Genomic DNA, 12237 nt, shown 5'->3' with positions numbered 1-12237 from the left:
ATGTCCTTTGCAGGGAGATGGATGGAGCTGGAGGCCATTATCCTTAGCAAACTAATACAGGAACAGAAAACCAAATACGATGTCCTCACTTATAAGTGGGAGCTAAATGATGAGAACACATGGACACACAGAGGGGAACAACACACACTGGGGCAGAGGAGGGTAGAGGGTGGAGGTTGGGAAGAGGGAGACAATCAGGAAAAATAACTAATGGGTAATAATAGGCTGGGTGATAATAATACCTGGGTGATGAAGTAATTTGTAAAACAAACCCCAATGAGACAAGTTTACCTATGTAACAAACCTGCATGTGTACCCCTGAAATTAAAAGAAAAGTTACAAAAATTATATATATAATTATATTTAAAAACATATTGATATATTATAAAAATATGTATATATTTAGACATGTATACATATATATATTTTTAAAGTTTCTACTGTATACCTGGCTGTCCTAGGCACTTGGCTGTCATGGAGCTTATATTCTACTTTGAATGTCAAACTCTCCTAGGGTGAAAGTTCACCGGGGACCACCTGTGGTTCTGAATTCAGGTACTTTCCTGCCCCATTTCCCTCAGAGTGACCATCAGCCTAGAGGCAGCAAAACTGTGCTGTTGGACAGAGGAGCAGTTGCCCGAGGTGACCCAGGTGAGCCATGGAGGTTCGTGAGTCACTCAGCAGAGCTAGCAGAAAACTGTGAAAATGGGTCTGAGCTAGGCATGACAATTCCCTCAAGGACGCACTGTTCAGAACTGCACGCATCAGAAGGAAAACCAAAGACACAACATGTTACGTGAATTCCCCGAAATGAGAAAGGCTGAGTAACTTCCTTGAGAAACTGCCACCTGGAATTAGGAGTTAACCTAGTCTCCATGGACACCCAATTTCTTAAGGAATTTGAGTTGAGCCACTCCTGGATAGACAAAGGCGCCTCCCAGGCACTGAGGCTTGGTTTCCTCTTCCGGAATCACTGATTTGCCATTGGAATGTTATGAGCTCATGGAAGCAGGTGGCAGGGGAGGAGCGGAGGCCACTGGACAGCACAGCGGAGGTTGCAGTGAGCTGAGATCACGCCATTGCACTCCAGCCTAGGCAACAAGAGCGAAACTCCATCTCAAGGAAACAAACAAACAAACTCCAAAACCAACCAACCAACCAAACAAAAAACCAAAGGAGTCAAAAAGTGGAGCCCAGTTCCTAGAGAATTTGGATCATAAAGCTTTAGCTAATATGAGGAAACCCTGATGCTCTTATTTACCTCTGTGCATCTCAGCAGTCCTTGTCATGCTACTCCTGTTAATTTCTCTTCAGATGTAAAAACAGATTTTCCAAGATTTCCCCCACTTCTCTGCTTTCTTCTAAAAAACATGTATGTTTGGTGGTCTCCAGTTCTCTTTTGGAACTGTACTTCAGTTAATCTTGTTCATGGCAGATCTGAGAGCTCCTGCCTGTTGCCAATGACTGTGACTCGCTTGGCAGAAAGGAAAGCTGATCTCAGAGCGCTTCAGCTGCACCACAGATAATGTGCTCAAGTTAAAAGCAATGGAAAGGTCATAACATGTCATATCTGGAGCTGGAATGTTTCACAATTTATTGAGGATTACTTATTTTATTTTATTTTTTTCTCCATAAGCACAAATATTGCCAAGAAGAGTATGAGCTACAATTTTATGTCATGGATAAATTATTTCTTCCACATCGCAATTAATTTTTATTTAATTCATTTTCATTCATTAATTTATTCATTACACAAGTATTTCTTGAGTTCCTACTATGTGCCAAGCTCAACTGAGTTGGTTGATGGAAAATATGCCATCTTGTGCTTTTGGCCATGGACTCTGTAATTTAGTACTTTCTAGTTCTCTTCGCCCATTTCAGTAGATAGTCTCATTTAATTTTGTATTTATCACAAAGTGTATTGTTAAAATCTGAATTCACTTATATGTTTCTAAAGCAATAGTGATAATAGTTACTATAATCATAAGATGTCAAGCTGATTTAATATATTTAAAGATCAACTTGCTAACCAATTTCAATGCCAACATACTTTAAATCACTGATATAAAATGGTTGTAGGAGACAAGAAAAATTTAAAAAGAGGGATAGGAAACTTAGGTACACTGTGCCCATCAGTGACCTTGGGAACCTGTTATAAAATCTTTTACATTTTGAAAGGGTGAAATGAGTGGTTGGAGAGAGACATTTAAAAAAAAACATATGCAGGTATAACAACACATTTAGCAAACTAATTGGGGCCTGTTTGCAGTAATGAACCAACCTGTTGTCCATCACGAATGCACCAGTCAATGTTGACAATGGTGACATTGTGTGTTCCCAGGACTCAGAAGGTTGTGATGTGAAAATGATCCTCCAGTCAGCTCTGTTAGCCTTGATTCCAAATTGAACTCTTAGAGAAATATTTGGTTAGACCTGAGCTTTCAAAATAAAGCAAATGCACTTAAAAAAATCAAAATAACTTACAGACAATGGTTTTACAGAACCATGTGGATTAAGTGGATTTAACTGTAATTTTAGACAAAATAAGGTTAGTTTCAGGAGACTTCACATCAGGAGTTTTAAAAAGTTAAACAAAGCACACCAATGCAATGGAATTCCATGCTGGCTGCCTGGTGGTAAAACGAATAAGCAGCTTCCTAGATCAGCACAGTAATCAGTGGCCATTAGGCTAAAAGGAATCAAAAGATACAGAGTTCACCTAGAGTTTTTATCAGCGTTTAGTGGTTTTTGACTGAAATTACCTTATATTAGTAAAAAAAAAAAAAAAAAAAAAAAAGAAAAAAGAAAGAAAAGAAAAATCCAGATTTGCATTAGGTCTTCTAGTGGAAAATCAAAGCAAGTGTTGAACAATACAGGTCAGGAAGAAATAAAACAAAAAATCTACAAAACAAAAACAGGATCACTTTGCCGAAATAATTCAGATTAACCACAAATACCAGCGTCGCTGGGCAATTACTCCATTCCAGGCAGTGGCGGTTGGATCTTTATGCATGGCCAGATTTCTACTGAGTTTAATATTTCTCTAACAGCCACGTAAAATAGACATTCTTCAGCTAGGAGTTTGAAGGCTCCTTAGTGTAGCCTCGCAATTGCCCACCCAATCCTTTCTACCTCTGGGATGCACATGACCAGCAGGTAAGTAAGTCTCCTTCCTGGCCTTTCCTCTCCTTCCTTTTTCCTTTCTGTTTTTTCTCTCACCTGAGCACCTACCACCTTCACCAGGACGGTAAGCCCTTGGTTCACACTAAATCTGGACACCCCTCTCTCCTTAAGTCTGACTCCTCATGAAGGATGCGTACTAACTAGTTTCTTGTTGCTGCTGCCACAAATCACCACAAACTTTGTGGCTTAAAACAATACAAGTTTATTCTCCCGTAGTTTTTGGAGATCGGAAGTCTAAAATGAATCTTAGGGGGCTGAGATCAAGGAGTTGGCAGGCGTGGTTCCTTCTGGAGCTCTGGGGGAACCTGCTGCCTTGCCTTTTTCGGCTCCTGGAGACTACTGCCTGCATTCCTGGGCTTAGGCCCCCTTTGCATCACTCTGAGCGCTGCTTCTCTGGCCACATCTCCTACCGACCTCTGGCATCTGTTTTGTAAAGACCCTGGTGATTCCATGGGGCTTCCCTGCATAATCAGAGATCATCTCGCCAACAGCAGATCCTTAATTCAGTCACATCAGGCAGTCCTTTTCACTATATAACGTGACATATCCACAGGGGATTGGGGTGAAGGCATTTGCTGGGGGGGATTATTCCACCAACTACAGGGCCTCACCAAATGCTCCACCATGTGTCTACAGCATCCTCTTTGCTGTCTGGCTCTTATGACGGCAACCGTGTTACAGCATTTTTAGCTATTTGCTAAAAATTGACTCATTTGCCTGAGAAATCCCAGCCTTTGCCATCTGTGCGGTCCACTTGCTTGCCCTTGGATCTATTTCTGGGCTGTTTTATGCTCTGCTCCTTAACACAGTGGGGCTGGCCCCATAACCAGGCCTGCAGCCCCCATCTGCTGGTTTTGGGTTGGATTGGGGAAGTCAGGGGAAAGGAGAAGCTGGGACTTTCCTCAGCTTCCCTCTGTGCTGGATGGAGCCTCTGGCCCCAGATGCATGTTCTCTGTGGTTTCCCCTCCTGCTGGTAGTTCCATTCCTCCCCTTGTCCTCTCCATTTGTTTCTCCAGTCTCCTTGTGCTGCTAATCTCTGGGTTGCCTCCCTTTCCGCTGTGTGTGCTTTTAATTCTTTAAATACTTTTGCATTTAATTCTCCCAGTTATATTTCCTCTATTAAATTATCTGATGGGGATTTTGTTTTCCTGGCTAGGCCCCGAAAGATCCACCATTTCAGCAGCAGTGGGGAGGCAGAGATAAAAATGGCTTAGCCTTCTTCTCAGAGGTTAACAGTGTGGCTGAGGACACATCAGAGCAGTGTTGTGCGAAACATGATGAGGTAAGGGTGACAGGTGCCCATCAGCAGGATACCATGGGAGCTACAGATGGGTTCTCTAGAGAGACGTTAAGCCTAACATAGATTTGGTTTGGAAGGACGGAAAGAATTTCAAGGCAAAAAGGTGGGGAAAGGACATCTCAGGAGGTGGGAAGAAATCAGTAGACATGGAGGCAGGACCCTGGAGGGAGCCGCTGGGGATGAAAAGTGCCAGGTGTGGCTGCGGGGCCAGGTTCACACACTCGGGAGGGGTGGGACAGAGTGTCCTAGGGCCTCTGGAAAAAACTAATGTACACCAGCTGGCTTAAAACAACAGAAATCCAATCCTAGAACTTTGGGAGGCTGAGGCAGGTGGATCACGAGGTCAGGAGATCGAGACCATCCTGGCTAACACGGTGAAACCCTGTCTCTACTAAAAATACAAAAAATTAGCCAGGCGTGGTGGCAGGCACCTGTAGTCCCAGCTACTTGGGAGGCTGAGGCAGGAGAATGGCGTGAACCTGGGAGGCGGAGCTTGCAGTGAGCCAAGATCATGCCACTGCACTCCAGCCTGGGTGACAGAGCAAGACTCTGTCTCAAAACAAAACAAAACAAAACACAAAAACAAACAACAACAACAACAAAACCCAAACAAACAGAAATCCACTCTTTTGCAGTTGTAGAAGCTGGGAGTCTCTAGAAGTCATTGAAGTCCCATATTCATGAGCCGTAGGGCCATGCTGTCTCTGAAAACTCTTCCAGTTTCTGGGGGTGGCCAGTTATCCTTGGTGTCCCTGGCTTGTGGAAGCTTCACCCAAATCCCTGCCTCTGTCATCCATGGCCTACTTCCTGTGTGTATCTTATTGTCCAAATTTCCCTCTTGTAAGAACACCAGTTGTTGGATTTAGGACTCTTTGGATTTAGGACACCTTTGTCCAACAGAAAAACACCCTCCTTACATCTTCACCTAGCCAATGCTTACTTGTCTCATGCTAAAAAAGCATTAAGCAGAGAAAGACAGTGAAGAGCTGGGTATTGCAATTATCTTTATATGATTATCCATTCACCCACCCTCCAATTCTCTCCACTTAGGACTCCACTTAGACTCAACCCAAATCTACTCTGACCTCATCTTGATTACATCGGCAAAGACCCTATTTCCAGTTAAATTGCCTTATGTAGCCTGTGAATTTATGTTCACAGGTACCAGGGGTTAGGACTTGGACATATGTTTCTTGGGGACATAATTCTGCCCATAGTAGGCTGATTTATGAAAAGTCCCAAATGCCATGCTTAGACATGTGTTTGGTGCTAGGCTGTTACATTAGCTGAGTAATGACGTGAGGGTCATTTTCTCTACTGTTACACTGCCGTGAGCATTTAAACCAACCCCAATCTCCTTTATTAACAAAAACACAAACAAAACAGCAACTTTCCCAACCCCATGTGTCCCTCTGTCTCTCCTCCTTTTAGAAGCCAACTTGTCTACACTTGCTGTCCCCACTCTATACCTTGCATCTATTCCACCACCCACTGAAATCTACATTGTGTTCCCATTACTCTCATCTGCTCCCTCTGCTATCAGCCACCATCTTTCCTTCTATCTGCTGAAGGTGCTCCACTCTGCCAAATAGTGTCACTTAGCTGCCGCACCCCATCTGTAACTCAACTTCTCCAAAACTCAGTTATTCACTTCTCTATTTTTGAGTCCTCTGTGATAGCAATGAATGGCCTCACTACTGCCCTAGCTCCCAAACCAGAGCTCTAAAGTCAACCTCAACAACTTATTCTCACTCCTGCAATATCCCTAACTCTGCATAATTGCACTATCTCTCACTAAAATTGCTGCAACTATCTCCTAAACAATGCCCAGGCTGTCAGACTGGCTACTGTAAAATGCTTATAGCAGTCACAGAGCTCTTTCATGAATGGGAATCTAGTCATATGACTCTCCTGCTTGAAACCTCTCCGTGCCTCCAATTGCCTTCAGCACAGACTGGCTTCTCATGCTGCTGACCTGGCCCTGCAGGGCTGGACCCAGCTTGTTTCTATTCTTGTCATGCAACGTATATATTGCCTTACATGCACTACCTCAAGTACTATACTACACACATTTCTGAAGCCTAACTATGCTGCTGCTCGTCCCACAAAGCTTTCATCCAACAGAAAAACTCCCTCCCTACCTCTTCACCTAGCCAATGCTTACTTGTCTCATACTAAGGAAGCATGAAGCATGAAACAGAGAAAGCAAGTGAAAAGCTGAATATTGAAATTATCTTTCTATGATTATCTACCCCCCCATCCCCGTCCTCCAATTCTCTCCACTTAGGACAGAATCCAGGTGTCCTCTCTCTTGACACCTCAGGATGCAGGAGTGCAGGGCTAGCCCCCCACACTGAGCACTAGGAGAGGCCAGGAAATTCCCTAAATGATGGGAACATTTCAAATACTCATCAGTTCCCAAATGGACAGGGTAGAATTGGCAGTTAAAAAATCTCTTTGATTTCCAAGCCAAGAAGATGTATTTTACATAAATGACAGGAAATTTGTGCTCCTTTATATCAAAGCCTTGTGCAGTGCAGCATGGACTTGACCATCTGTGGGGGGACTGACTAACAGAAGCCACTTCTAAAAGCAAATCCCAATGAAATTTGCCAATTTGTATTTTGGGAGATACCAAAAATGTCAATGCTGAAAAGGGCCTTAGCCATCACCTAGGTCCAACTACTTTGCTCTCTATACGTAAGAGCAGGTGGATTCAGAGAGATCAGATGACTCACTTAAGGTGATTTAACTCATTGAGGGATGAGCAGACACAGGCAGTGAGTGTCCCAAGCCCCGTGCCAGTGTTCCTTTTATAGACACTTTCTATCATTTCTGATGATACTTTCCATTCCCATCATAGTGAAGAGAAAAGGTCAAAGGAGATTTAGAGTCTAATCCTGTTGAACTGCTCACCAGCTTTGTGATCCCAGGGAAGCAACTTGTCTAAGCCCAGACTTTCCATCTCTTCTATGAAGATATGGTTTAGCTGTGTCCTCACCCAAATCTCATGTTGAATTATCGTTCCCACAATTCCCATGTGTTGTGGAAGGGATCCAGTGGGAGGTAATTGAATCATGGGGCCAGGTCTTTCCCATGCTGTTGTCATGATAGTAAATAAGTCTCACAAGATCTGATGGTTTTATAAAGGGGTTCCCTGCACACGTGCTCTTGGCTGCCACCATGTAAGATGTGACTTTGCTCCTCCTTGCCTTCCACCATGATTGTGAGGCCTCCCCAGCCATTAAACCTCTTTCCTTTGCAAATTACCCAGTCTTGGGTATGACTTTATTAGTAGCTGGAGAACAGGCTAATACAATAAATTGGTACTGGGAGTGGGGTGCTGCTGTATAGATATGCAAAAATGTGGAAGCAACTTTGGGACTGAGTAACAGGCAGATGTTGGAACAGTTTGGAGAGCTCAGAGGAAGACAGGAAAATGTGGAAAACTTTGGAACTTCCTAGAGTCTTGGAGGGCTCAGAAGGTAGGAAGATGCGGGAAAGTTTGGAAATTCCTAGAGACTTGTTGAATAGCTTTGACCAAAATGCTGATAGTGATATGGACAATAAAGTCCAGTCTGAGGTGGTCTCAGATAGAGATGAGGAATTTGTTGGGAACTGGAGTAAAGGTCATGCTTGCTATGCAAAGAGACTGGTGGCATTTTGCCCCTGCCCTAGAGATCTGTGGAACTTTGAACTTGAGAGAGATGTTTCAGGGTATCTGGGGAAGAACTTTCTAAGTGTCAAAGAATTCAATAGGAAGAAGAGGATAAAAGTTTGGAAAATTTTCAGCCTGATGATGTGATAGAAAAGCAAACCCCATTTTCTGGGGAGAAATTCAAACCAGCTGTAGGAATTTGCATAAGTAAGGAGGAGCCAAATGTTAATCACCAAGACAATAGGGAAAATGTCTCCAGGACATGTCAGAGACCTTCATGGCAGCCCCTTCCATCACAGTCCTGGAGGCCTAGGAGGGAAAAATGGTTTCCTGGCAGGGCCCAGGGGCCCCTGCTATGTGCAGTCTAGGGTCTTGGTGCCCTGCATACAAGCTGCTCCAGCCATGGCTATAAGGGGCCAAGGTACAGCTTGGGCTGTGATTTTGGAGGGTGAAAGCCCCAACCCTCAGCAGCTTTCATGTTGTGTTGAGCCTGCAGGTGCACAGAAGCCAAGAATTGAGGTTTGAGAACCTCCACCCAGATTCCAGAGAATGCATGGGAATGCCTGGCTGCCCAGGCAAAAGTTTGCTGCAGGGGTGGATCCCTTATGGGAACCTCTGTTAGGGCAATGCAGAAGGGAAATGTGGGATCAGAGCCCCCACACAGAGTCCCTACCAGGGCATTGCCTAGTGGAGCTGTGAGAAGAGGGCCACTGTCCTCCAGACCCCAGAATGGTAGATCTGACCATTGACAGCTTGCACCATATACTAGAAAACCCACAGACACTCAATGCTAGCCATCTGGGGGACTGTACCCTGCAAAGCCATAGGGACAGAGCTGCCCAAGACCTTGGGAGCCCACCTCTTGCATCAGCATGATCTGGATGTGAGACGTGGAGTCAAAGGAGATCATTTTGGAACTTTAAGATTTGACTGCCCTGCTGGATTTTGGACTTACATGGGGCCTGTAGCCCTTTTGTTTTGGACAATTTCTCCCATTTGGAATGGGTGTATTTATTCAATGTCTGTATCCCCATTGCATCTAGGAAGTAACTAACTTGCTTTTGATTTTACAGGCTCAGAGGCAGAAGGGACTTGCCTTGTCTCAGATGAGACTTTGGACTGTGGACTTTCGAGTTAATGCTGGAATTAGTTAAGACTTTGGGAGACTGTTGGGAAGGCGTGATTGGTTTTGAAATGTGAAAACATGAGATTTGGGATGGGCCAGGGGAAGAATGATATGGTTTGACTCTCTCCCTACCCAAATCTCATCTTGAATTGCAGCTCCCATAATTCCTATGTGTCATAGGAGGGACCCAGTGGGAGGGAATTGAATCATGGGACCAGGTCTTTCCCATGCTGTTCTCATAATAGTAGATAAGTCTCATGAGATATGATGGTTTTATAAAGGGGAGTTCCCCTGCACGCGTGCTCTTGCCTGCCACCATGTAAGACATGACATTGCTCCTCCTTGCCTTTCACCATGATTGTGAGGCCTCCCCAGCCATGTGGAACTGTGAGTCCATTAAACCTCTTTCCTTTATAAATTACCCCGTCTTGGATATGTCTTTATTAGTAGCGTGAGAAGACTAATACACATGGGGTGTCATCCATCCTGTTTTTGTCCTTGTCTTTATAGCAGAATTTAATATTCTCAGATAATACAGCAAATGCACATTATGCTTTTACTAAATACCTCTTTAGTTAGCAGAAAATTTGCAGTGCAGATTAAGAAGTAGTTAGAACAACAGTGAAACTCTGCTTAAGAAACTGGTGGGATGCTGCCAAAGCAGCACTTCCTGGTACATTTATAGCCTTAAATGGTTTTATTTAATTTGAACAAATAAAATTATATGTAATATTTAGTCTTACTAAATAATAGTCTTGTATAATAAATACTTAAATATTTAAAGAAGACAAGTAAATTAGTTAAGCATTCAATTCAAGAAGCTAGATTAAAAAAAAAAAACAGTAGAAAGGAGACGACTTGGATTAAGAATAGTTAACAGAAACGCTGAGGTGGTTTTAATTACTGGGAAGCTCAATAGCATCAGTGGGGTACTGAATTAAGTAAGAAAATAAAAGCAATCTGAGGCTTAATATAAATAAAATGCTTTATGCCAAAGATGGTGATTGCTATGGAATATTCTGCATTATTCAGTTCAGCTCCAGGGCTTTAAAAGATTGGAATGAGAAGTATGGTGAGTTAATTATTCAGGAATTACTATGGAAACTGAATGTCTAACCTAGAAAAAAGAGCCTATGGAAGGATCTACAAAAGGATGGGTGAGACTCATCCTTTATTTGATAATTTAGAAATAATCATAATATACTTGTTTGGAAGTTATAAAAAGTCAAATTTCAAGTTGTTATAAGTAAAAGACATCGATCTAACAACTGGGAGTGTTCAAATGGAGCAGGGTGCCCTGTGAAGTTGCATCCTTTTGGTTCTTTCTGGAAAGAGTTCAAGAAGGTGGGATTATCTGTGAGTAATGGAGAGAAACTAAATGGGAGATCCCTTCCCTTGTGGGAGACTCAGGATCCTAAGAGTCTCTTGATCTAGAATAATAATATGATACTGTGGAGTCAATTCTAGTATTTAAAAGCTGTTTTCTACCCACAAAACTCTATTACACATAAAATTTAGAGAAATGTGATCTTATAATCATGTTCCTGGGGCAGTGTGAGCCACTCCAGATTACTTTCTTCCTAGAATTCATTATGATTAGCAGCTATCTTATTTATTATTTGCTTATCTGCTGCTTATATTATTAGATACTATTTGCTTATCTGCATATTGCCCTTGTTCTCCTTCCTGAGAACAGAGACCACTTTTTCTGAGATCTCTGTGTACTTGGTACCTAGTAATGGACTCGCACATAGTCAATGCTTGGTACATATTTGTTTAAAGAATGAGTCTAGAGTTCTTAACTTTCTAAATGGTCAATGTATCTGGTTCAAAGGATTCATAAACTCTTGAAATCTGTATCTAAATTGGGTCTGTTGGGGAAGAAAGTCCATAGATTCTATCAGACATTTAAACGGCCCCCAGATCCAAGCAGGGCTGAGACCATGAGTTCAGTAAGAGCAGGAAAAAACAAACAGGAGTTTACATTTTTTTCTCTAGAACATTGTGGAAAATTTAGATTTAGTGCAATTCCAGCTGAACTCCAATGTAGTTGCTCTGTTGGAAAAATCTTCATGTGACCTTTCTGGAAGTTGACAATTTGTATAGGATGTAAATCTGATGGTTCAGCTTTAATCACACTTGACTCAGCAAATTCCCTCTCCTACCCTATCAGATAATAGATTTATTCTAAATTTTTTTTTCAGTTTTGAGGAATATTTGTATTTCTTAATACCATGAAAAAAATTTCAGAGATCCCTGAAACACCCATCTCTCTCTCTCTTTTTTTTTTTTTAAAGCACCCACTGGTTTTAGCACAGTGCAGACTCCTTGGGTGGAATTACTGCTCAGAGAAGCACTCACACAAACACAGAAATATACATGCTTGTGCACACACACACTGGTGCACACACACAGAGACTCACTATATAGGAGTCTAAGGAGGAAAGTCCTCAAAGGAGGAAAGAAAGCGAGTTTGGACAGTTTAGACAGCTAATCTACATCGTTTAACTGGATCATTTTTATTCCTGTATGAGTAATTTACAATTGTCTCATTATGGTAGAGACTGTGGCAAGCTCCACTCTGTTAGGAGTTAAATATACACTTAAAATTAATCCCACTGGCAGCTGTGATTGGAATATAAAAATAAAAGTTGATAAGAAATCATGAAATAGCCTGGGCCTTGGCCTCTTTTCGACTTCAGGTGAGTTACTCTTACCTCTGCAGGTCTCTCATTCTCTGTCTTCCTTCGTATCCATTATTTGCATTCCCATAAAATCACAGAATATTGCAATGAAACCCCAGACCGTGATGGCAGCCCTGAAACTCTAGCTTCTTTATTCCCATCACCTGTCTCCCTCTTACAGGGCTAGTGGGCTCTTTGACAGATGACAATAAAATTGGTCAGGCGTGTATCACCATTCTTCCAGCCCTGTCTAGCTCTGAAATGCAAGTAGAAGAAGCCCCACTTG

General features: G+C 42.5%; 2 annotated features.

The window, feature by feature from the left end:
• Window positions 331-1530: an enhancer, noted in NCBI's record as "BRD4-independent group 4 enhancer chr21:42308234-42309433 (GRCh37/hg19 assembly coordinates)". NCBI's record gives its function as "activates an origin of replication core promoter dependent on BRD2, P300/CBP, MED14 and CDK7 cofactors, and independent of BRD4, by STARR-seq in HCT116 cells {active_cell/tissue: HCT116}" and the evidence as "EXISTENCE:reporter gene assay evidence [ECO:0000049][PMID:35650434]".
• Window positions 2446-2947: an enhancer, noted in NCBI's record as "NANOG hESC enhancer chr21:42306817-42307318 (GRCh37/hg19 assembly coordinates)". NCBI's record gives its function as "activates a minimal SCP1, AML or CMV promoter by ChIP-STARR-seq in naive and primed H9 embryonic stem cells {active_cell/tissue: H9 hESC(naive and primed)}" and the evidence as "EXISTENCE:reporter gene assay evidence [ECO:0000049][PMID:30033119]".

Source organism: Homo sapiens, chromosome 21, assembly GCF_000001405.40.
Source record: "Homo sapiens chromosome 21, GRCh38.p14 Primary Assembly".
NCBI lineage: Eukaryota > Metazoa > Chordata > Mammalia > Primates > Hominidae > Homo > Homo sapiens.
This window is presented reverse-complemented; position numbering and strand designations above follow the sequence as displayed.